Source organism: Homo sapiens, chromosome 12 (assembly GCF_000001405.40).
Source record: "Homo sapiens chromosome 12, GRCh38.p14 Primary Assembly".
In the NCBI taxonomy this organism is placed as follows: domain Eukaryota; kingdom Metazoa; phylum Chordata; class Mammalia; order Primates; family Hominidae; genus Homo; species Homo sapiens.
The window spans coordinates 10,233,224-10,260,143 of NC_000012.12; the positions used below are offsets into that span (position 1 = coordinate 10,233,224).

Sequence of the window (26,920 nt, forward strand, 5' to 3'; positions counted from 1 at the left end):
CACAATGTCGGTTCGCTGCAACCTCCACCTCCCAGGTTCAAGAGATTTTCCTGCCTCAGTCTCCCGAGTAGCTGGGATTACAGGTGCCTGCCACCATGACTGACTAATTTTTGTATTTTTAATACAGGCAAGGTTTCTCCATGTTGACCAGGCTGGTCTTGAAATCCTGACCTCAGGTGATCTGCCCACTTTGGCCTCCCAAAGTGCTGGGATTACAGGCATAAGCCACTGCACCCAGCCAGATTTCATTATATATTAGTCTATTCTCATGCTGCTATGAAGAAATACCCAAGACTGGGTAATTTATAAAGAAAAGGGGTTTGATTGGCTCATAGTTCTGCATGGCTGGGGAGGCCGCAGGAAACTTACAATCATAACAGAAGGTGTATTCTTCACAGAGCAGCAGGAAACAGAATGAGTGCCAGCAGGGAAAATGCCAGACACTTATAAAACCATCGGATCTCATGAGAACTCACTCACTATCACAAGAACAGCATGGGAGAAACCACCCCCATGATTCAATTACCTCCCACTGGGTCCCTCCCATGACATATGGGGATTACTGGATTACAATTCAAGATGAGATTTGGATGGGGACAGAAAGCCAAACCATATCATTCCCCTCCTGTCCACTCCCAAATCTCATGTTCTCACATTTCAAAATACAATCATGCCCTCCCAACAGTCCCCCAAAATCTTAACTCATTCCAGCATTAACCCAAAAGTCCAAGTCCAAAGTCTCATCTGAGACAAGGCAAGTCTCTTCTGCCTATGAGCCTGTAAAATCAAAAGCAACTTAGTTACTTCGTAGATACAATGAGGGTACAGGCATTGGGTAAATACGCCCATTCCAAATGGGATAAATTGGCCAAAATGAATGTGCTACAGGCCCCATGCAAGTCCAAAATCCAGTAGGGCAGTCATTAAATCTTAAAGTTACAAAATGTTTTCCTTTGACTCCATGTCTCACATCCAGTTCAGCCTGATGCATGAGGTGGGCTCCCATGGCCTTGGGAATCTCTGCCCCTGTGGCTTTGCAGGGTACAGCCCCACTCCTGGCTGTGCTTAGTGGCTGCAGCTTTCCCAAGCACATGTTGCAAACTGTCAATGGATCACCATTCTGGGGTTTGGAGAATGGTGGCCCTCTTCTCAGAGCTCGACTAGGCAGTGCTCCAGTGGAGACTCTGTGTGGGGGCTTCAACCCACATTTCCCTTCCACACTGCCCTAGCAGAGGTTATTCATGAGGGCTCCACCCCTGCAGCAAACTTCTGCCTGGACATTCAGGCATTTCCATACATCCTCTGAAATTTAGGTGGAGGTTCCCAAACCTCAATTCTTGACTTCTGTGCACCCACAGGCTCAAGACCACATAGAAGCCAACAAGGCTTGGGGCTTGCAGCCTCAGAAGCAATGGCCTGAACTTTACCTTGGCCCCTTTTAGCCACAGCTGGAGTTTAAGCAACTGGGATTCAGGGCACAATTCCCAAGGGTGCACAGAGCAGGGGGGGCCCTAGACCCAGCTCATGAAACCATTTTTCCCTCCTAGGCCTCCAGGCCTGTGATGGGAGTGGCTGCTGTGAAGGTATCTGACATGCCCTGAAGACATTTTCCCCATTGTCTTGGTGATTAACATTTGTCTCCTTGTTACTTATGCAAATTTCTGCAGCTGGCTTGAATTTCTCTCCAGAAAATGAGTTTTTCTTTTTTATTGCATGTTCAGGCTGCAAATTTTCCAAACTTTTATAGTCTACTTCCTTTTGAACAGTTTGCTGCTTAGAAATTTCTTCTGCTAGATACCCTAAATCATGTCTCTCAAGTTCAAAGTTCCACAGATCTCTACAGAAGGGACAAAACACCACCAATCTCTTTACTAAAGCATAGCAAGAGTCACCTTTGCTCCAGTTCCCAACAAGTTCCTCGTCTCCATCTGAGGCCACCTCAGCCTGGACTTCATTGTCCATATCACCATCAGCATTTTGGTCAAAACCATTCAACAAGTCTCTCAGAAGTTCCAAACTTTGCCATATCTTCTTGTCTTCTTCTGAACCCTCCAAACTGTTCCAACCTCTGCCTGCTACCCAGTTGCAAAATCGCTTCCCTTCTACATTTCCAGGTATCCTTATAGCAGTGCCTCACTTCCTCAATACCAATTTACTGTATTAGTCTATTTTCACACTGCTATGAAGAAATATTCGAGACTGGTTAATTTAAAAAGAAAAGAGGTTTAATTGAATCATAGTTCCACATGGCTGGGGAGGCCTAAGGAAGCTTATAGTCATGGCAGAAGGTGCATTCTTCACAGGCCGGCAGGAGAGAAAATGAGTGCCAGGAGAGGAAATGCCGGATTGCTATAAACCTATCAGATCTCATGAGAACTCACTTACTGTCAGGAGAACAGCATGGGGGAAACCGCCCCCATGGGTCCCTCGCATTACATGTGGGGATTATGGGATTATAATTCAAGATGAGATTTAGGTGGGGACACAAAGCCAAACTATATCATGCTACTTACGAGTGGAGGTTATAGCATAAGGCTTCTTTGTACATCTTTAAGAAAATAAGCCACCTGTCTTCTGTCATCTGTCTTCTATTTTGATCTGACTGAAAGACATTGCTAAGCTAGTTTGCAAGGCAGCTCCCACCTCTAATTCTTCCCTCCTACTCCTTTACAGTTCAGGGAGGCTTCATTTCCAAAACGAGTGTGGTCATTGTACTTCTGGCCACCAGGTGGCAGGCCAGATCCACTTAATAACACTGCAGCCTTAATCCTCACTGGCTGCAATTATTTTCCTTTTTAATCAATCTGTTATTAATAATAGTGTCACCTTTTTGTAAACAAAACCACAGAATTTTAACAATAGAGAAAAAATAAGAAGTAAGCTTGTTCATTGTCAATTTTTCTTTTTAAATCTTCCCCCAAAGGAGGAAGATGCATTGCACATTTTTGTTGACTCTGGTGTCTCTTTCAGCATCTAGATGAAATAATAACATTTCTGTTTTAGACAAATAGATATATTTCTTCTGTTCCAAAAGGTAACAGTGGGCTGGGTGTGGTGGCTCACACCTGCAATCCCAGAACTTTGGGATCCAAAGTGGGCAGATTACTTGAGGCCAGGAGTTTGAAACCAGACAGGGCAACATGGTGAAACCCTGTCTGTACTAAAAATACAAAAATCAGCTGGCTGTGGTGGAGCATGCTTGCAGTCTCAGCTTCTCTGGAGGTTGATGCAGGGGAATCGCTTGAACCCGGCGGGTGGAGGTTGTAGTGAGCTGAGATTGCACCACTGCACTCCAGCTTGGGTGACAGAGCAAGGCACTGTCTAAAGAAAAAGTGGATAGAGGAGGGTGAGGCAGGAAAAGGAAAAGGAAGTCAGCATTTCTGGAGCATCTTTTCTCAAACATTCCTTGTTTATTTGGGAGATTAAGTTTCTTCTGAGGATAAAAAAAGATTAGAAGTTAGATTGGTATTGTCTTAGGGGGAAAACAGGCAAGTAGAATGATAATAGAACTTTGTTGCCATAGAATATACAACTAAGTAATACTGTTTATAATGTTCCAATTTACTACAGGTTGTGCATGCAAGCAGTCCTCTGTTTATCTCCTCATCCTCCAGTGTCACATGTCAATTGCCCTGTCACTAACTAATCACAAACCACACTGGCCTTTTATTAGTTTCTTGAATGGCATTAAATTCTTTCTGTCTCAGTCAGGGCTGTGCACATACCTGGTATCTTCCACTGAACTGCTCCTCTCTTAGCTCTGTATAGCCAGCTCCTTCTCATACTTTGTCGTAACTTAAATATTAATAGAGGCAGGAGGCAGAGAAATCCTAGACAGACAGGGATGGGTCCCTGGGGAAACCTTACCTTCAGGTCAAAAACAGCCTGAAACCCACAGACCAGAGTGAGGACTTCCATTCCTGTTTGTTGGCTCTCTTCTTATTGGTTCTTTCTGAATAATGCCTTTTAACCAATTGAATGTTGCTTTTTCCAATACTACCTATGGCCCACCCTGCCCCCATCCTGTTCCTATAAAGGCCCCTGTCAGTGGAGGGGAGACAGCCTGACTTTGGGGAGGAGACAGCTTGACTTCAGGGAAACATGATCTGCTTTTCTGATACCCTCTCCAGCTCCCCTCTCCACTAGAGAACTGTTTTCATCGCTCAATAAAATTCTCCACTCTTACCATTCTTCAGTTGTCAAGTGTGACCTCATTCTTCTTGGACGCTGGACAAAAGCTTGGGACCCACTAAGTGCAGGTGGAGGCTGTCACACTGGCCCTTTGCCCTTGCAAGTGGAGGGCAACCACCCCACTGGCAGCTACAGGGTCAGTGGCCAACTGAGCTGCTAACACACAGCCGTTTATCGACTGTGGATGGTGGAACTAAAAGAGCTAAGTAGCACACTCACACCCCCTCTGGGGCTTTGGGATCATGGGCACCAGGCTGCCATGTTCCCCTCAAGGCAACATGACTGGTCTGGACATGGGCTTTGCATGGAGCTTGCTCCTGTATTGGTGCTTGGAGTGGCTGGCCAGATCCCATACTCACTTGCTTATGTGTTACCTCTCTCAAGGGGCGGAGCATGGTGGGCCGAGGAGATGGGGCACTCGTGCTAGGAGTCCGGCAAAAGGGCCAAGAAAAATCCTGCATGAATATTACAATCTCTGATCATCCAGTTAAAGTTTCTAGGGCCCCTCTGCTGTTGCTGTCAATCTCAAACACTTTTTTGTTTCATTTACAACACATATTGGAACTTGTATTATTTTGAATTTGCTTTTTAACTTAAATTTTATAATTTCTTTCATTAGAATATGGTTTCCATGAGGCCAGAGAACATGTCTGTTTTTCTTTTTTCTATTTTTTTTTTTTTTTTTTTTGAGATGGAGTTTTGCTCTTTGTTGCCTAGGCTGGAGTGCAATGGTGTGATCTCAGCTCACCGCAACCTCTGCCTCCTGGGTTCAAGTGATTCTCCTGCCTCAGCTTCCTGAGTAGCTAAGATTACAGGCATGAGCCACCACACCCAGCTAATTTCGTATTTTTAGTAGAGATGGGGTTTCTCTATGTTGGTCAGGCTGGTCTTGAACTCCTGACCTCAGGTGATCTGCCTGCCTCGGCCTCCCAAAGTGCTGAGACTATAAGTGTGAGCCATTGCATCTGGCCCTTTTTCATTCACTGAATAATTTCACTACTTTACAAATATGTGTCAGGCACTAGGCTAGCAGACACACACATAATATTTGTTAAATAACCATACCTTTCTAGAAGGAACTTCCCCTTTAAAGTTTTTCTATATACAAATTGAGAAACAGGTAGAAAGAATCCACATTCTTAGAACTTATTCTTAGCAGATAATTTAATTTGAATCTCAATGAAAATGAAATTTAATAAATATGACTATTAAGAGACAATCAGAGTCATATTTTTAAAAAGTACATTCACTGACCTAATGAGTTATGATGTGTGGAGAACATATCACAGAACCAGAAACATCCTGTCCAAAACAGCCTAGCATATTTTAGTTCAACAAACAAAATGATGTGTTGAAATTTAGTTGGTGAGATAAGACAAAGCCAGCCCATTTGGGTCTAAATTTATGAGATTTTTTATCCAGAACATGATTATAATGATTATTTCACTTAGAGTTGTGTGAATCTGACCTAACCAAGGATAACAATGGGTAGGTCGAAGATCATATTTATGACATCTTGGCCCTGGATTTTTCCAGTTCGTTCAGACTTCAAAACCTTTGAAGGGAGTCTTAGGTTCTTACCTTATTGTTATTAAGATGTTCGAAAAGCTCAAGAATTCTAAAAAGCCAGAATGAGGGGATAACTTTCACCAAAGACTTTTCCTTTATCTTTTGTTGTACGTGGTCACTTAACTGTTTTAGCTTAATTTAACAAAAAAGATGAGAAAATATTTTTACAGTATCATGAGATGAGGCTTCTAATGGGCTGGTGGCCAAGGATGGGGAAAAGAATCAAGGACAGATTAAATCTCCAAAGTAAGAGAATCTATTATATAGCAAACAAACTTGTATAATTAATCTCTAGGAGCACGGGTTCTAATAAGCCCAGGTACCACAAAGATAGAGAATTGCTTCTTCTGTCCAGGCAAAAGGCATGACTAAAGGTGTGACTTGCTCTCTGGGGATGATACCAATTTGGCAGCAGCATTTCCTTCCTTCCTTCTTTCCATCCTTCCTTCCTTTCCTTCCTTCCTTCCTTCCTTCCTTCCTTCCTTCCTTCCTTCCTTCCTTCTTCCTTCCTTCCTTCCTTCCCTCCTTCCCTCCCCTTTCTTTCTTTCTTTCTTTCTTTCTTTCTTTCTTTCTTTCTTTCTTTCTTTCTTTCTTTCTTTCTTTTTCTTTCTTTCTTTCTCTCTCTTTCTTTCTTCTTTTCTCTTTCTCTCTGTCTTTTGTTTGTTCGTTCATTTTTGAGACAGAGTCTCACTCTGTTGCCCAGGCTGGAGTGCAGTGGCATGATCTCAGTTCACTGTAACCTCCACTTCCCGGGTTCAGGCGATTCTCCTGCCTCAGCCTCCTAAGTAGCTGGGATTACAGGTGCCCGCCATCATGCCCAGCTAATTTTTGTATTTTTACTAGAGATGGGGTTTCACCATGTTGGCCAGGCTGGACTTGAACTCCTGACCTGAAGTGATCCGCCCGCCTCAGCCTTCCAAAGTGTTGGGATTACAGACGTGAGCCACTTTTTCTCTTTCTTAAAACATTTTGCCCAATGCTAAATTTTACTGCTTGGTTTCACCATAGTAATCTGCTCTAGAAGAAAATTACCACAGGTGGGATTGTCAAGGTGTTCCGGGATAATCATTTCTACTTTCTTTCTTTTTTTTTTTGGAGACAGGTTCTTACTTTGTCACCCAGGCTGGAGTGCAGTGGCGTGATCTCAGCTCAATGCAGCCTCAACCTCCCAGGCTCAAGCTACCTTCTTACCTCAGCCCCCCAAGTCGCTGGGACCACAGGTGCGCACCATCATGCTGGGCTAATTTTTGTATTTTTTGTAGACACAGGGTTTTGCCATGTTGCCCAGGCTGGTCTTGAGCTCCTGAGCTCAAGCGATCTGCCCGCTTCTGCCTCCCAAAGTGCTGGGATTACAGGCTGAGTCACCATGCCCAGCCCTCATTTCTATTTTCTACATGCCTTTTTTTTTTCTTTGCTTTCATTGTTCAGCTTCATGCCATGATCTTATTCTGACCATGATGAAATTAGTAGAATAGATCTTCACTTACGTTCTCTGCTCCCAGTGACTAATGTAGAGACAAGAGTTTTTATATTATTTGAATTTTTGTTATGAAAAAATGTAAACATTAAGTAATATAGACATAATAACTTAATGAACTACCATGTGCCCATCACCCAGCTTCAACTCACTCCCCAATCAAGGTGAGTGTGTATCTCCCATGAGTGAGTAAACTACCACGTGCCCATCACCCAGCTTCAACAAGCATCGACTCACTCTCCAATCAAGGTGAAATATCAGACATCATGTGATTTTATCGGTCAGTACATTTCCCTGATTTTTAAGTACATTTAAGTCAGTACATTTTCTGTTTTTAAGTAAATTATACAGGGATTCACTATGGTGACTAGTTATATCTTTTACCTTTGTTTTTGCTATTGTTTTTGTTGCTTGCATGAATTGAGTCATTTGTCTTTTAGGGTTTTCCACAGTCTTGATTTGCTGATTGCACCTCCGTATGTAGTTCAACATCTTCTTCTTTTTTCTATATATATCCTGTGTATTGGTAGCAAGGTAGATACTTGGTAAGATTCAAGTTGGAATAATTTTATGAGGGGCAAAAAGCCCTACTATTTCATAATAAGAGTTGTGTAGTTACATTCAGAGGCATTTACTATCTAGTGTCTCTTTTATGTAATGTCAGCAGCAACTGATGGTCATTAACTAGGTCCCTTAATTCATGACACAAAACGTTGAAAGTTTAATTCAATCATTCCCTATTCATTTATTGGCTGAAGTACTTTCATAAATAGCGACTTCACCTCATCAATTATTAGGTTACTCTTTGTTACGGTTTGTATAAGAGTTTGCAGGAGAAGTACTTGATTCTTTTCTTTATCAGCTTTCTAATTAATGAATAAACTCAGGAGGGGAGCGATTTTTTACTTTCATAAAATAAAAATAATTTCAGACTTACAGAAAAAGTTGTGAGAAAGAGACAAAGAATGTGTAAATAGCTAGTCTTGACTCAGACTTCTTAAATGTTAATGTGCTACATTTGCTTTACGTAATCTTTCTTGGTTACATTTCAAAGAGAAGGCTTCTAGGTCCTTGAAAATGACATTACTGAGTTGTAAAACTGGCAATAGGTTGGAAAAGATTTACACCTCAAAGCGGCTGAGAAATAATTTATAATTGCAAGTTTTCTAAAGTAAATACTATAAGAAAAGGGAGGCCAGAGAACTATAGTTAGGAAGAAATTTGTCTAAAATTTCAGTTAAGATCAGGAGAAGGTTAAGGCTGATATTGGATAGTATGTGTGTATATGTGCATATTTGTTTATATATGTGTATGTATATATATATGCATACATGTATATGCACACATTCACATATAGAATGGATATTTTTGTACTGTTTACTAAAGTACTTTGCAAACATGATGTTCTCTTAACCCGTCAGTATGTAAGTATTTCCTCAGAAATCTGCTTGCATCTGAAAGTTCTTCCTGTGGTGTTGGAAAGCAGGCTTTCATGACATCACAATCTGAGTTGCTGTATTCTTATAGGTCATTCGATTCCTCTTGTTGAACTGGAGAAACTTCTCCCATAATTGACTGGATGACTGGATTTCTTTGTTACTGTTCTTGCTGTTTTTTTTTTTTTTTTTTTCAGAGAAGAGTGACTGTCTTGCAGCTTCTAGTCAAATGAGAGCAATATGAGAAAAATGGGATATATGTGCTGATTTTAATTTCTCATTCAACACTCCATTTTGATTTGTCTTCTGAAGTGTTGACCATGATATTTACAGTGGCATTTGAATTGTCAATGTCAAGCTGATTTCATTTTACTAATGTGGGATACATTTATAATTTTTCTTTTCATAGTGATATGAACAAAATCATTAACAAATATTAACAAAACACATTACACAAAGCGATCTTCACTTGTATCAACCTCCAGGTTGGACATAAACAGGAAAACATTTTCAATCCCTTCTCTCCTCAAAAATCCAAAGCAGCTACCCACTGTACCATCTGGTGGATAGTGGATAGTTGACTCAAAAATAAATGAAAGATATGGGAGTGCAGATATATCTTCAACATATTGATTTCAATTCGTTTGGATGTATACCCAGAAGTGAGATTGCTGGGATCATATAGTAATTCTATTTCTAGTTTTTTGAGGAGCTTTCATACTGTCTTCTGCAAATGGTTATACTACTTCACAACTGCAACCACAATGTGTAAAGTGTTCCCTTTTCTCCACAGCCTCACTAATACTTATCTTTGTTTCTGTTGTTTTGATAATAGCCAGTCTGTAGGAGTGAAGTAATATCTTATTGTGGTTTTAATTTGCATCTCCCTGATGATTAGTGATGTTGAGCATGTTTTCATATCCTGTTGTCCATTTGCATGTCTTCTTTTGCAGCATTATTTACAACAGCCAATATATGGAAGCAATCTAAGTGTTCATTGGGATGAATTTTAAAAATGTGGTATATATACACGGTGAAATACTATTCACCCTTAAAAGAGAAGTAAATTCTGTTACTTGTGACAATATGGATGAATCTGGGGGGCATTATGGTAAGTGAAATAAGCCAAGCACAGAAAGACAAATACTGCAAGATCTCATTTAAATGTGGAATCTAAAAAAGTCAAACTTCTAGAAGTAGGTTGTTACTAGAGACTGGGGGAAAGAGAATGGGGAGATGATGGTCATATGGTACAAAATTCCAGTTTAGGCAATGGGAATAAGCTTTTGAGATCTATTGCACAAAAAGTATGTGAAGTGATGAATATGTTAATTAGATTGATTTAATCATTCTACAATGTGTACATATATCAAAACATCACATCAAACCCCCGAAATATATAAAATAATTTTTCGGTTAAAAGAATAAAACAGAAGGCCAGGTGCAGTGGCTCATGCCTGTAATCCCAGCACTTTGGGAGGCCAAGGCAGGTGGATCACCTGAGGTCAGGAATTCAAGACCAGCCTGGCCAACATGGCAAAACCCCATCTCTACTGAAAATACAAAAATTAGCCAGGTGTGGTGGCAGGTGCCTATAATCCCAGCTACTCAGGAGGCTGAGGCAGGAGAATCGCTTGAACCCAGGAGGTGGAGGTTGCAGTGAGCCAAGGTCACGCCACTCACTCCAGCCTGGGCAACAGAGTGAGACTCCAAAAAAAAAAAAAAAAAAAAAAAAAACCGAAATGAAAGATATGGAACAATGTGAAAAATCTGGCTATTGATATTTACCTTATCAGTGCTTAAAACTGTCTAGTAACAATTTTACAGAATGAGCCATCGAACTAGGATAAGAAGTGTGCAAATAAAGGTGTTATAATGTGAAATAGTGATCTTACTAGGGATTCTCATTGGTAGCGGTTTTAGAAACCAGAGTAGAGAAGATCAAATATAGTTTGATTTAAAAATACAATGATTCCGTGTTTATTTTTAATAAATATAACTAATAAATAAATTGCTGCAGGTATGCGGGACTAAAATAAGGTGTCAGTACCTCACACGAGAGCTTCAGATGGCTTCACTGCTACAGCTTGCCTGTCTATGTGGTTAGAAACTGTTGTTTAGTGGTTTCAGTGGTGAGCAGTTCGTGGGCTTCCGGTTTCTCTTTCTGAAATGGTCGAAGAATAGTGGCAAATAGGTCACTTGTTGTTGGTCAAGCGCTCAGGCAATTTTTTAAAGGATTGGTAAGGTGGTTCTGAAGCCCCTTGCAAGGGAATTTAGAAAAAAATATCTACGTCATAGAACTCTATCCTATGATTTTGTTGTTGAAACTGGAACATAAAAGAAAAGAGAGAGAGAGGAAGACAAGCAAACGCCTAAACAGAGCTCAGGGAACACCTTCAGGACAGGGAACTGGAGAACAGTCATCAAATCAGTCGCTACCCACCAGGCTCAAGGACTCACAAACTACCATTTGTGACCAATATACTCATTCACTCAATTTCAGTCAGTGTCTGGGGTATCAAGCTCTAGAAACCAGAAATAAAGCCAGAAACAAAGGAAAAAGTTTTCATTTCCAATAAACTCAGTTATTGTTAAAACTTCAGGGACTGGCACGGTGGCTCATGCCTGTAATCCCAGCACTTTGAGAGGCTGAGGTGGGTGGATCCCCTGAGGTCAGGAGTCCAAGACCAGCCTGGCCAAAATGGTGAAACCTCATCTCTACTAAAAATACAAAAAATTAGCCTGGCATGGTGGTGGACGCCTGTAATCCCAGCTACTCAGGAGCCTGAGGCAGGAGAATCACTTGAACCTGGGAGGCAGGGGTTGCAGTGAGCCAAGATCACGCCACTGCACTCCAGCCTGGGCAACATGAGCGAAACTCCGTCTCAAAAACAAAACAAACAAACAAAAAAAAAACCAAAACAAACAAAAAAACTTCATTGAAGAAATCATGCTCTTACTCTTCCTGTAGAGTGGTAATGCAGTACTGATTTAATTTAAATATAACCTATATTGATGGTTAATATTTATTGGTGTTTACTATATGTCAGGCTTTGTGTAAAGCATTTGCGTGCATTAGCTCAAATAATTATTGTCATAATGCAGCAAGATATATAATGTTACTATGTACATTTTACATATAAGGACACTGAGGATTATCAATTAATGTGCTCAATTTCTGCTGGGTGCGGTGGCTCACACCTGTAATCCCAGCACTTTGGGAGGCCAAGGTGAGTGGATTACATGAGGTCACGAGTTCAAGACCAGCCTGGCCAATATGGTGAAACTCTGCCTCTACAAAAAATACAAAAATTAGCAGGGCATGGTGACACCTGCTTGTAATCCCAGCTACTCAGGAGGCTGCAGCAGGAGAATCGCTTGAACCTGGTAAGTGGAGGTTGCAATGAGCCAAGATTGCGCCACTGCACTCCAGCCTGGGCGACAGAGCAAGACTCCATCTCAAAAACAAAAAATAAGTAAATAAATGAAATAAAACAAGAAAAGCTCAATTCCGCCTAGCTAGCAATTGGAACAACTAATAGTCTAAGAAAGGTTTATTCCATTTCAGAAAGATAAGCTTGCAGAAAGACAGTATGTGAATACATGAAAATCTGTTTTATTTTTAGCTCAATTTTCCAGTAATTTTTAACTCTCTGTTTGAATTTAACTATATAAATAAACCTGTACATACTATTGTATATTGATTATTTAATCATTAATTTCTGTACATGTACTTGTCTTTCTGTGTACTGTCTACTTGTCCTCATTGAGCCAACATATAGATAATGACGTATGATTAAATTAAACCTGCCAACTTCCATGACAGTCAAAGTACTTTTGGAAGTTTTGCCATGCTTTCAATGTGTACTTTATTTCCTATTATAGTTTCTCTCTTTTCATGTTTTATTTCCCTTAAGAAACATTTATTTTACTTTATTTTGGAGGAAAAGTCTTACCCTGTCACCCAGGTTGAAGTGCAGTGGCATGATCACAGCTTACTGTAACCTCGGGCTCCAGACTTAAGTGATCCTACTGCCTCAGCCTCCCAATGTGCTGGGATTACAGATGTGAGCTACCATGCCTGGCCAATTTACTTTAAAAAGAAGCATTTGTTTGTTTGTTTGTTTGAAATGTTATGATATTTTAACATACAATGCATTTCATCTCATGATAGCATTTTCATTGAGAGGGCAAATTTTATAATATCCCTAGGATTTATGTAAAGTTGAATTTATATTAAGTTGCCCTACTTAATTGTATATTGCTCCCTCCTTTCTTGGTTCTGTGTGTTTAGAAACCTCTGACTGGAAAGATATAAGTGCAAACTTGTCACTATAGTCTGAATGCAGAAATTGTGGGGATTTTTTTTTCATCCCATATACACACATTTTGTGTGTATTATATACTAGTGAACATAAAATTACATGGTATTAAAATTATGAATATATACTACATTTTTAAGGAACTCAGTCCAGTGGAAATACTAATAAACATCAGTGATAATGCAATGTAATAAATGATATAGATGAAGTGTGTATAACAGGTTCTTATACAGTTCAGAATTATCCTCTTGCTTCAACACAGTGACTGCTTCACAAGATAGGGTAGGAAACATGATTTGTGACCTGTCTGAGAAAACTCTTCCACATATCTACAAAATTTGAATTTACACTATGGTGTATAGTAATATATGTTGGCATACAATATTATTCTATGGATAAAATTAAAATGCATATTCTATTTTATTCTGTAATTATATACCATAAAACTATTGACCAAATGGAATATTGAAGAACATGTCATTTGTCAAATCATTCCTATAATGTGCAAATAATTTTTGTTTTTTAGGATGGTTGATGTGAGGTTTTTTAATTTGTTTTGGCTATGTTTAGATATTTCACATCTGTTAGTCTGAATTCAAATAATGAACCACATTGAAGTCTTCCTTCATAGTCCCATTAAATGGAGAGTCAGCAGATGTTTCTTAGTCTAAATGAGTAGGGAATTTCTTTTTTCTTTTTCTTTTCTTTTCTTTTCTTTTTTTTTTTTTTTTTGAGATAGAGTCTTGCTCTGTCACCCAGTCTGGAGTGCCGTGGCACGATCTCGGCTCACTGCAACCTCCGCCTCCTGGGTTCAAGTGATTCTCCTGCCTTAGCCTCTCGAGTAGCTTGGATTACAGATGTGCACTGCCACGCCTGGCTAATTTTTGTATTTTTAGTAGAGATGGGGTTTCACCATGTTGGCCAGACTGGTCTTGAACTCCTGACCTCAGGGGGGAATTTCTATTTATATCAATAATATTTTCCATGATGCTGAATTCTCCACATACTTCTACTGAGCTAAGCTCAACTGCATTTGTAATTTGTTTAACCTTTATCATACTGTCTGAATTTTTATATTTCTAATATCATCTAAGTCATGAGAACAATTTATTGGAATGTGATTTAGTTAGTTGGTTAACATTTATAATTTATTTTTTTCAAACATCTTATCCAAGTAGATGTGTTAAATTTTATATGCTTACACTTTTTGTGTAAGTAGATGTACTAATTTTTGTATAACATTTTTAGAAAATTTAATACCTTTCCATCTTAGGCTTGATGCAGTGTTTTGTGTGTTTTTTAAGACTTATTCATTTTTATAATAGAGTTTGCTTCACTTTCATATTTTATTTTCTTTAATCTAATTTAGTGAGTCTAAGATACATTGTGGTATAGTTTGGCTCTGTCCCAAACCAAATCTCATCTTGAATTGAAGTTCCCCTAATCCCCACATGTCATGGGAGGGACCAAGTGGGAAGGTAATTAAATCATGGGAGCAGTTGCACCCATGCTATTCTCATGATAGTGAGTGAGTTCTCATAACATCTGATGGTTTTATAAGGGGCTTTTCTCCCTTTACTTGGCATTTCTCTGTCCCGGCCACCCAGTGAAGAGGGACGTATTTGCTTCCCCTTCTGCCACGATTGAGACCTCTGCAGCCATGCAGAGCTGTGAGTCAATTAAACCTCTTTCCTTTACAAATTACCCAGTCTCGAGTATGTCCCTATAGCAGCATGAGTACGGACTAATACATATTGTTTTTTACATTTTAATGTCTCTGAAATTAGCATGCCTCTCAAAATATATGAAGTCTTACAGTCACTGCTGGCCAGGAGACAGTTGCAATGTGCACATGCGTGACCTTGATTTTCACTGGTGCTAGTGTCACTGCTTCAGTGAAGTTATGTACATTGTTGGTCCTGCATGTTTTACTCATCACATCATTTAGACACCGTCATAGGATGGAATGGAAATTCTCTGATCCTGTTTTTTTCCCCACAATTTTTCTAATCCTGTTTTAAAAAAAAATCTATGAGACTTTTACAGATCAAGAAATCACCATCAAAAAACTCTAAATAATGAGCATCAGAAGCTACAAAGAAAATCTTGGAGACATTAGAGGGGCACTCTTTTTAAAAAAATGGTACATGACTATTGTTCTTTATGGCACAGAAAACAATATTGTGTTGAAAACAATTATGGTAATGATAAGTATGTTTTGTCTGCTTTATTGACACTAATAAACTTCTTAATATTTTATTTTTATGTTTATTTTATTGTGTGAAATCAGTTTTATTTAAATGTATTTTCTTTTCCTTCCTTCCTTCCTTCCTTCCTTCCTTCCTTCCTTCCTTCCTTCCTTCCTTCCCTTCTTTTCTTCTTTTCTTTCTTTTTTTTTTTTCAGAGTCTCTCTCTGTTGCCCAGGCTGGAGTGCAATGGCGTGATCTCGGCTCACTGCAACCTCCGCCTCCTGGGTTCAAGTGATTCTCCTGCCTCAGCCTCCCAAGTAGCTGGGATTACAGGTGCCCGCCACCACACCCGGCTACTTTTTGTATTTTTAGTAGAGATGGGGTTTCACCATGTTGTCTAGGCTGGTCTTGAACTCCTGACCTCAGGTGATCCACCCACCTCGGCCTCCCAATGTGTTGGGATTACAGGCGTGAGCCACCATGCCTGGCCATAAGTATACTTTCCGCTTGATGATTGCACTTTTTGTTTTCTTTGAATCATATGCTTAGATAGAACATCATTACCATTCTGTTACAATGGAGATTTTAACATGTTCACACTTGAAAATATCAATTTTGAATTCCATTTGCATCTATAATTATATCAGGTTTAAACTCACATACAATAAACTATATACGACGGATAATGTGTCCTCTATTATTCTACCCATAAACAAAGTAAATGTATTTCCAAACATGGAGTCATTGGCATCAGCCAACCGGTGGGGGAGATTCTAAATTAGGCTTAACAGGGGACAGGGGAGTTGCTAACATCCCTTACAGTAAACTACTGAGGCAGTCCTTGATTCTGCCACATTATGAGGATTTTATACATAAGGTATTTCATGAAAGAAAGAGAAATAGTAAAACTGCACCAAAGGAGAAACAGTATTGAATTGCAAACAAAGAAGACAGAAGAAACAATAACAACAGTTAACAATGCTTTCTCATTCAATCCCTAGAAAAACCTTGTGATGAGGATACTTTTATCCCCTTCATTTTACAGATGTGGAAAAAGTAGATTAGGGAATTCAACTGGACCAAAGTTATAAATATAGTAAGTGACACAACTCAAACTAATATCTTGCCTTCTCTGGTATCAAACTTGTGCCCTTATCATATATCAAAATGCTTCCAAGAAAATTAAATATACGGTTTGCAACCAGTGGAGAAACTCTTGGGGAAATCGTCAATTTTTTAAAAAAGAATTTATTGAGAAGCATCCTTGAAACAACTTGAAAAAAGAGTAAGAAATTATTTCATACTTAATTTTCTACAAAGAACAAAATAATGAATCTCACATTTATCACACATATGCAGTGAGAAGGACTCCTGGAGGCTGTAGCAGTCAGTGCCTTTCACACAGGAAGGGACCCTTACTCTGAGCTCTGCTAAGCAGAAGGGTGGTAGTGTCCCATGGTGGCTCGTAATGCATTTCTTGACCCAATGACTTCCTTTGTGGTTTCATCAGAGTTCGCAGGAGCTGCCATCACTCTAGCTTTATGGTTTTCAACTCTAACAAAGTGAGGAGTATAGTAGTCCTTTTGTTTTCTCGAAGACCATTAGGATCACTTGTTGTACATACGTTGTCCGTCATGCTCAGATTTCCTAGGAATTCAACTTCTGTCCTGAGTCTCTGCCTTTATTTCTATCCTGGTGCGTTAGGCTGTCAACCTAGAAGGAAACATTTACATCCCCTCAACCACTCTCTCTCTTAAGTCCTTACCATTTCCCAAGGTGGTGATAACGTTTTGCTTTTTTTTTTTTTTTTTTTTTTTTTTAGGGGGGCTGTTATGAGTGCTGGAAACCAAGAAAGGATGAGCAAAGAAAAAAGTTCCCCTGAGTCATTTGGCCCCAAACATTTTAGCATACCCAAAGGCGCCAGAGCCCTTTCAGTAACATGTATTATTCCTGTTAAAGATCCTTCCCCTTGGTTTGGGTTCTGTAGCTAGACAAAGAGAAGGTTAAGAACATCTGCTTCTGTGTCACATTGTTCCAAACTTTTCTTTTCTTTTCTTTTCTTTTTTTGAGACGGGGTCTCACTCTGTTGCCCAGGCTGGAGTGCAGTGGCAAAATCTCCCGCTCACTGCAACCTCTGCCTCCTGGGTTCAACTGATTCTCCTACCTCAGCCTCCAGAGCAGCTGGGACTACAGGCTCCCGCCACCATGCCAGGCTAATTTTTGTATTTGTCCCAAAGTTTTCTGCTTGACCTAGATAAAACTTGGGTATTAATTTATCAGTTACCTTTTAAACACATTTTAAAATTTACATTTGCAACACCCCTTTGATTATTAACTTCCATTATATGTTGAGGCAAGTCAGTACGAAGTGGTTTCAAAGTCACATAATACTTTAAAAATGGATAGCGTATTAAGGTAATATAAAGGGTCTTGGGTCTGTGAAGCTAGAGAAGATCCAGACCAGGAGAAAGTCTCAGGTATTTAAGAGCATGTTTTCTGGTTAAGGAAAGGATAATTGAAAGCAGCCGCAAGTGCCATGTTTCGTTCATTTACCATCATTATCAACGACTTATTTAATGTAGTCATAATTTTGTAATCGGGATTTCTGAAGTTCCATAAACTGGAGCTAACATATGTTGCCTCACTAGCATTAACTACAGATGTTAACATACTAACCTTTCACTCTGGAGTTTGGGACAGTGAGTGATTATTTGTTATTATACTATTTTCTTTTTGAGATGGGGTCTCACTCTGTTGCCCAGGCTGGAGTGCAGTGGTGCGATCCTGGCTTACTGCAACCTCCGCCTCCCAGGTTCAAGCAATTCTCCTGCCTTGGCCTCCCGAGTAGCTGCGATTACAGGCAAGCACCACCAAGCCGGGCTAGTTTTTGTATTTTTAGTAGAGATAGGGCTTCACCATGTTGTCCAGGCTGGTCTCAAACTCCTGACCTCAGGTAATCCTCCGGTCTTAGCCTCCTAAAGTGCTGGGATTACAGGTATGAGCCACCATGCCCAGCCCTTTTATGCTATTTCTTTGGCAAACACAAAAAGGAATGGTCTGGTCCAGTGGTCCCCAAACTTTTTGGCCCCAGGGACCGGTTTCATGAAAGATAATTTTTCTATGGATGGGAGCAAGAGGGGGATGGTTTGGGATGGTTCAAGTGCGTTACATTTATTGTGCACTTTATTTCTATTATTATTACATTGTAATATATAATGAAATAATTCTACAACTCACCGTAATGTAGAATCAGTGGGAGCCCTGAGCTTATTTTTGTGCAACTAGATAGTCCCATCTGGGGGTGACGGGAGACAGTGACAGATCATCAGGTATTGGATTCTCATAAGAAGCACACAACCTAGATCCCTCGCATGTGCAGTTCACAACAGGGTTTGTGCTCCTATGAGAATCAAATGCCTCTGCGGACCTGACAGGAAGCAGAGCTCTGGTGGTAATGCCAGCAATGGGGAGTGGTTGTAAATATAGGTGAAGCTTTGCTCACTCATTCCCTGTTCACCTCCTGCTGTGCTCCAGGTTCCTAACAGGCCACAGTACCGGTCTGTGGCCTGGGGCTTGGGGACCTCTGGTCTGGTCAATTACACATTTCTCCTGAATTCTGGAGAGACAACATACCAGTTCCTCAGAGGAAACAAAGATTTTCTTAAAAATCACATCAAATTAAATTACTGCTTTTTGCTTATTGAAGTGGATAATCTTACTCTTGTTTTTGTCATTGAAAAGACACTAGGCCAGGTATGGTGGTTTACACCTATAATCCCAGCACTTTGGGAGGCTGATGTAGGTGAATCCCTTGAACTCAGGATTTTGAGACCAGCTTCAGCAACATATTTATGTTCTATAAATGTATGTTCTATAAATAATACAAAAATTAGCTGTGTGTGGTGATGTGCAGGTGTATTACGTATTTTCTATAAATAATACAAAACTTAGCTGGGCGTGGCGATGTGCACCTGTAGTCCCAGCTGCTTGGGAAGCTGAGGTGGAAGAATCACTCAAGCCTTGGAGGTTGAGGCTGCAGTGAGCTGTGATTGCGCTACTGTACTCCAGCCTGAGCAACAAAATGAGAACTTGTCTCCAAAAAACAAACAAACAAACAAACCCCACCACATTCTCAAGTTATAAGAAGTTAGTTCTTCTTCCCTCATGTTACTTAAGATTTGAATTCATGATTGTATAGAATCATTAGTTGTCTTAAACAAGCAAGGGCACTAAATGAATGACCATTACAGGGAAGACAGTAGATTCCATGAGAGGATGTGTCTTGAGAATGTATATGAACATGAAGACTTCATCTTTGAGAAAGAGGAATAACTTTCAGAGGAAGGTGATTCAAGTGAACCAAGACATGACACTGAAGAAGAATGGTGGGGGTGGTAGGGAGTAAAACTATCGCAGCTGTGTGTACACAAAAGGGAATGAACCAGGGTTGGGAGTGCAGTGGTGTGAGTTGTGACTTGGGCCTAGAATGCTTGATTGAACATAGCATTACTGGCTTTGCTGTCCTGAGTGAGTCAGTGGGCAGTTGTAAAAAAAAAAAAAAAAAAGATGAATAATTTAACTTTTAATAAACAAAGTTTGACAATCCTCTGCATAAAACATTTCTTATCTAATGCTTTTAATATTTTTTTATCACTAGTTTTGAAGAACTTAATTATAATGTACATGTAAGTAGATTTTCTTATGTTTCTTTTGCTTGGGGTTCGTGGACTTTCTAGATCTATATGCTTATAGTTCTAGCAATTTGGAAACATTTCAATTTCAGTATTTAAATCTCAGTTTTCAACTGTAAGTTCTTTGAATACTTTTTGCCCCCTCCTATGTATCCAGAGACTGCTTTTAGGCGTACGTTGGGCCCCTTGCAGCTGTCCCGCAGGTCACTGATACTCCGTTCATACACTTTTTAAATGCTCTTTAATGTGTTTCATTTTGTTTAGTTTTCATTGCAATGTCTTCGGATTCGGGCATCTTTTCTTTCACAGTGTCTTTTTTTTCTAACTTTTATTTTAGGTTTGGGGCTACCTGTGAAGGTTTGTTACATGGGTAAACATGTGTCATGGGGGTTTGTTGTACAGATTATTTCATCACTCAGGCATTATACCCAGTACCCAATAGATACCTTTTCTGCTCCTCTCCCTTCTCTCACCCTATCCCCTTGAGTAGACCATGGTGTCTGTGATTTCCTTTTCTGTGTTCATAAGTTCTTATCATTTAGCTCCCACTTATAAATGAGATCATGAGGTGTTTAGTTTTGTTTCTTCATTAGTTTGCTAAGGATAGTAGCCCCCAGCTCCATCCATGTTCCTGTAAAAGGCAGGATTTCATTCTTTTTTCATGGCTGCACAGTATTCCATGGTGTATATGTACCACATTTTCTTTATTCAATCTGTGATTGATGGGCACTTAGGTTGAATTCAAGTCTTTGCTATTGCGACAAGTGCTGCAGTTATCATTCACATGCATGTGTCTTCGTGGTAGAAGGATTTATATTCTTCTGGGTATATACCCAGTAATGGGATTGTTGAATTGAATGGTAGTTCTGTCTAAAACTATAAAAACGCTGGAAAACAACCTAGGCAATACCATCTTGGACACAGACAGGAATGGGCAAAGATTTCGTGACAAAGACACCAAAAGCAATCGCAACAAAAGCAAAAATTGACAAGTGGGATCTAATGAAACTTAAGAGCTTCTGGACAGCAAAAGAAACTATCCACAGAGGGCAGGGCATGGTGGCTCACGCCTGTAATCCCAGCACTTTGGGAGGCCGAGACGGGTGGATCACGAGGTCAGGAGCTCGAGACCATTCTGGGTAACGTGGTGAAACCCCGTCTCTACTAAAAATACAAAAAATTAGCAGGGCGCGGTGGAGGGCGCCTGTAGTCCCAGCTACTCTGGAGGCTGAGGCAGGTGAATGGCGTGAACCCGGGAGGCGGAGCTTGCTTGCAGTGAGCCGAGATCGCGCCACTGCACTCCAGGCTGGGCGACAGAGCCACACTCCGTCTCAAAAAAAAAAAAAAAAAAAAACCTATCAACAGAGTAAACAGACAATGTACAGACTGGGAGAAAATATTTGCAAACTATGCACCTGACAAAGGACTAATGTATATCCAGCATCTCGAAGGAACTTAAACAAATCTACCAGAGAAAAACAAACAACCCCATTAAAAAGTAGGCAAAAGGCTGGGCGTGGTGGCTCACACCTGTAATCCCAGCACTTTGAGAGACTGAGGCTGGTGGATCACCTGAGGTTAGGAGTTTGAGACCAGCCTGGTCAACATGGTGAAACCCTGTCTCATGTAAAAATACAAGGAAAAATTAGCCAAGCGTGGTGGCGCCTGCCTGTAATCCCAGCTACTCTGGAGGCTGAGGCAGGAGAATCACTTGAACCCAGGAGGCGGAGATTGCAGTGAGCTGAGATTGCGCTACCGCACTCCAGCCTAGGCAACAGAGCGAGATCAGTCTCAAAAATAAATAAATTAAAAAAAAAAAAGAAAAGTAGGCAAAGGACATGAACAGGCACTTCTCAAAAGAAGACATACTTGTGGCCTACAAGCACATGAAAAAAGCTCAACATCGCTGATCATTAGAAAAATGCAAATCAAAACCACAATGAGACACTGTCTCACATCAGTCAGAATGCCTATTATTAAAAAGTCAAAAAATAATAGATGCTGGTGAGGATGCAGAGAAAAGGGAATATTTATATACTGTTAGTGGGGGTGTAAATTAGTTCAACCCTTGTGGAAAGCAGTACGGAGATTCCTCAAAGAGCTAAACTGCAGTGTCTTATATCTACTAGTAATTTGAGGACTTTTAAAAATTATTCATTGTAGCTAAAGGTTTACTAATATTGTTAATCTTTTCTAAGGTCCAACTTTTGGCTTTGTTTATTTTCTCTATTTTCCACTCTATTTTATGTACATACCTTCTAGTATTTATTGTTCATTTGGCTGGCGTTGGGTTTAATTTATTTTCCTTTTTCTAGTTACTTAAGGGATGAAGTTAGGTTGTTGGTTTAAGATGTTCTTTCCAATGTATTTAAAGATATAAATTTGCCTCTAAGCACTACTTTTGTTGCATCCCGTATGTTTTGGTATGTTGTGTTTTTATTTTCATTAGCTTTAAGATATTTTCTAATTTCCCTTGTATTTTTTCTTTGACTCATTGGTTATTTAAAAGTGTTGTTTACATTCTAACTAATTTTCAAATTTTTAGTTTTACTTCTGTTACTGAATTCTAGTTTCATTCCATTGTGATAGGAAATAATGCTTTCTATGAGTTTACTCTTTTAAAATTAATTAAGACCAGTTTTGTGGTCTAACATATAGTCTGTCCTGAAGAATTCTCCATGTGCACTTCAAAAAAATGTATATTCTGCTGCTGTTGGTTGGAATATTCCATATGTCTTTTAGGTCCAGTTGGTCCATAGTGTTGCTCAAGTCCTCTACTTTCTTATTGTTCTGGTTGTTTTTTGCATTATTGGACATAGGCATTACATTCTCCAAGTATTATTGGAGAGCTATCTATTTGTCTCTTCAGTTATGTCAAAGTTTGTTTCATATATTTAAAGGTTCTGATATTTAGTGCCTATATGTTTATAATTGTGATTTATTCTTGAGGAATTGACACTTTTATTAATATATGATATTCTTTGTCTTTTATATATATACATTTACTTTATCTGACATTAGTATGGCCATCCCAATTTCTTTTGGTTACTCTTTGCTTGGAATATCTTTTCCATTCTTTCATTTTCAACTTATATGTGTTTTCAGGTCTGAAGTGAGTCTTTTATAGACACCTTCTTATTAGATCCTGTTTTTGCTATCAATTCTGCCCATCCATGCCTTTTAATTGGGAATTTTAATTCATTTATATTTAATGCAATTACTGATGGGGAAGGACTTATATTTTCCATTTTCCTATTTATTTCAGGGTGTCTTATAGTTATTTTCCCACTCATTTTTTCCATTATTGACTTTCTTTGTGATTAGCTGTTTTTTTTTTTTTTTTTGTAGAGACACATTTTCATTATCTTCTCCTTTCCTTTTGTGTATATTCTATAATTTGTGTTAACTTAAAGATTATTTATAATATTTAAAATTTTTAACAACCTATTTTTAATCAATACTAACAACTTCAGTGGCAAACTAAAACTCTACTCCTACACAGCTCCACCCCTCTGCTTTATGATATCAATATCATAAATTACATCTGTATTTATTTTGTAACTATTAACATAGATTTATTATTAATTTATTCAATTGCTTCTAAATGTTATAAAAAATAAAAAGTGAAATTACACACCAAAATCTTAATGATGTTGGGCATTATATTTCGCTGATGCATTTATCTTTACCAGAGATCTTTATATCTTCATATGATGATGATGAATTATTGTCTTGCATCCTTCCATTTTACTCTATAGAACTCTCTCTAGCTTTTCTCTTAGGGCAGGTTTAGTGCAATAAACTGCCTCAGATTTTTTTTATCTTGAAATGCTTTAATTTCACCCTCATTTTTTAAGGATGGTTTTGCCAGATATTAAAATTTTGATTGACAGTTTTTTTTAATTCATAACTTTAGATATACCACCTCTCTGCCTTGTGGCCTCCAAAGCTTCTGCTGGACACTCCACTGGTAATTTTATCAAGGAGCCCTTGTTTGTGACAAATATTTTCTTGTTTTGTTTTGTTTTTTCTTTTCTTTTCTTTTTTTTTTTTTTTTTTTAAGATTTGCTGCTTGGCTTTGGCTTTTGCCAGTTTGATTATATCTTATTGTGGGTCTCTTTTCATTTATGCTACTTGGACTTCATTAAGCTTTTTGGATTTGTAAGATTCATGATTTTTTTTTAAAATCAAATTTGGCAAATTTCTTTATTTTTTAAATACTCTTTCTTTTCCTATTCTATGACACTTATAATGGGTATATTGGTCTGTTAAATAACGTCCATTAAATCTCTTAGTCTCTGTTCACTTTTCTCTGTTCTTTTAAAAAATTTCTTGTCTTCTGACTCAGTAATTTCAAATGGTTTACTTTCCAGGTAGCTGATTCTTTTTTTTTTTTTTTTTTTTTGTAGTAACAGTATATTTTTCAGTTCTGTTATTTAATTTTTCGTCTCTAGAATTTGTTTGATTTTTATATTAATATTTTCTATTTGTTGATATTCTCATTTTGTTCTATGTATCACCCACTTTTCTTTAGTTATTTTTCTGTTTTTTTCTTTAACTTTTTGAGCATATTTAGTACAGTTATTTTGAAGTCTTAGTCTACTGATCTGATATTTGTGCTCCCTCATGAACAGTCTCTAAAGATTCATTTTGTTTCTTCCAATGGGTTGTGTTTTCCTGTTTCTTCGTATGCTTTGAGATTTTTTTGAAAATTGAGCACTTGAAAAAAACAGCTACCTCTCCCAGTCTTTGAAGACTGGCTCTTTGCCAAGGCAATTCTCTATTAACTGTGTACTGTAGGTCTTGGGATTAGCTTTAGGTAAAGGCTTAAGGTCTTCTCAGGTCTTTTGGAGCATGAATTTTCCTGGGTCTTTGTGTGGCTTTTTCTGTTTTCCCATACATGTGGCTACTTTTGAGTGTCTTAATGTCCTGGAGAGTCACATTCCAAATTTTCTTGACTTTACTTAACATTCTGAGTATTTGTATAATTGTAGGGAGACAAACTTGCTAGCCTGCTGATGACCTGGTGAATCTAGCTTAGGTCAGTTTTTCCTTACTTACCCCAATACCTCTATAAACATATGAGTCCAAAGGAAACAGAATTTCTTTTCTGTAGTACAATTTATACTGTGTTCAGTTGTGCTTAGCTCAAGCTCTCCTTCTGCTCTGTCAAGTTTCAGTGGCACCATGCACTATCCCTATTTTTTTATCTTGTATCATGAGTCATTTGTGGTGTTTTTATTATTTAATTACTAGGCAGTGTCCAACACAATATAAACTACTCTTTCTGAATAATAGGCTTTGGAAGTAGAACATATTCACATATTCTCTCCAGCCACATTGGGATGGGAGGCATTCTCTTTGGGGGAACAATAATTGGGAATTCAACCAAAGTAGAATAGCCAGTGATAAGTTGTTCATAGGAATTATATCTGTGGACTACAAAGTCCTGGAACAAAAGATCTATTGAAAAATAGAAATTTAGATAATGAGTATGTTTGAAATTTCAGCTATTGAAAAAATCGGAAGAATCAACCACCACTAAGTCTACCTGCAGACAAAGTAGTCCTTCCAAAGACATATATGTCTCAGGGGGAGGAAATAGAACTAAATGGACCTTGAATGTTTAATTCATGTCTTCACTTGTCACTGAAAGAAATAGAGAGTGAAGAACAATATGAAAATGAGACTCTTAATATGACTTCTTCACACAAATGCATATGGCTATCTTTCATTAGAAAAAGAGGTTGAAAAAATATATATTTATGCTTTCCCAAACTCTAGATATATACACCAAACCTTGGGAAAAGGGAATCTGTAAGACCTACGAAGAAGCCAAAGAAACTTAGATCATTTGTAGCAAAAGGAGCAATGAGCAGAGATAAATAGAATTAGTCTGCAAGCAAGACTTAGTTGATGGGAAAGAGAAACACTAGGAAACTGTGATTCCGAGGTACCTGGGGATGCTTCTACTTTTGAGATCAAAAGCATTTATTCTGTTCTGTAATATCCACCCTGAGTAACCCATGGCCTCCTGAATATCCACTAAAGACACAGTAGATAGTTCTGGCTAGAATGCCCACAGCCTTCAGTGTAAAATTCTAAGAATTATTCTAATATGCAATTCTTCTTATTGGCTTAATTAAATATTGTTCTAGTGATTGACAATTACTCCATCACATTATTGTTGTTCCATTTTTAAGATGCATTCCTCCATCATCATCATAGTTATGTAGAATATTTTGTTATTATTTTGGTCATTTTCTGAAAGTCATAATATTCATCCTTGACTTATTAATGTCCAATATATGTAGTTACTTTACATTTTCCTAGCCATTATAAGAAATTTAGAGCTTTTTAGTTCTATTTATTATTCTTTTGAGTTAAAATGCAACTCTTTAATGTAAGTGTATGTACTGTAGTAAACTTTAGTTTTATGCAATTAAAGTAGTGGACATTATTTATGGTTTCATATAATTGCTATTCATTTAGACTTACATCTGTATTTACCTATTTCATTGTCTTTTATCCTGAGTCTTTGAGGTCTCATCTGAGATCATTTTCTTAAACCCAAAGAATATTGTGGGCTGGGCATGGTGGCTCAAGCCTGTAATCCCAGCACTTTGGGAGGTTGAGGCAGACGGATCACGTGAAGTTGGGAGTTTGAGATCAGCCTGGCCAACATGGTGAAACCCTGTCTTTACTAGAAATACAAAAATTAGCCAGGCGTTTTGGCACATGCCTGTAATCCCAGATACTTGGGAGGCTGAGGCAGGAGACTTGCTTGAACCCAGGAGGTGGAGGTTGCAGTGAGCCAAATTCATGCTACTGCACTCTAGCCTGGGCGACAGAGTGAGACTCCATCAAAACAAAACAAACAAAACAAAAAAAAGATATTCTTCTAGTGTACTTTCTTAATACAGATATAAAGATATAATAAATTGTTTTTGCTCTACTTAAATGGTCTTTCTTTTACCTATGGAGTATAACTAGATGCTCATATCATTCCCATCTGTATAACTAAATGCTCATATCATTCCCATCT

General features: G+C 38.6%; 1 protein-coding gene across 1 annotated transcript in view; it reads left to right on the plus strand.

Annotated features, from left to right (window-relative positions):
• The first annotated feature begins 5,737 nt into the window (after window positions 1–5,737).
• The window catches only part of KLRD1 (killer cell lectin like receptor D1), a 90,648-nt gene continuing 69,465 nt past the window's right edge, over window positions 5,738–26,920 (plus strand). The window contains exons 1-2 of the mRNA NM_001351060.2: window positions 5,738–6,980; window positions 7,379–7,517. The gene's annotated coding sequence lies outside the window, so the exon portion shown is untranslated. The remainder of the gene's footprint in view (window positions 6,981–7,378; window positions 7,518–26,920) is intronic.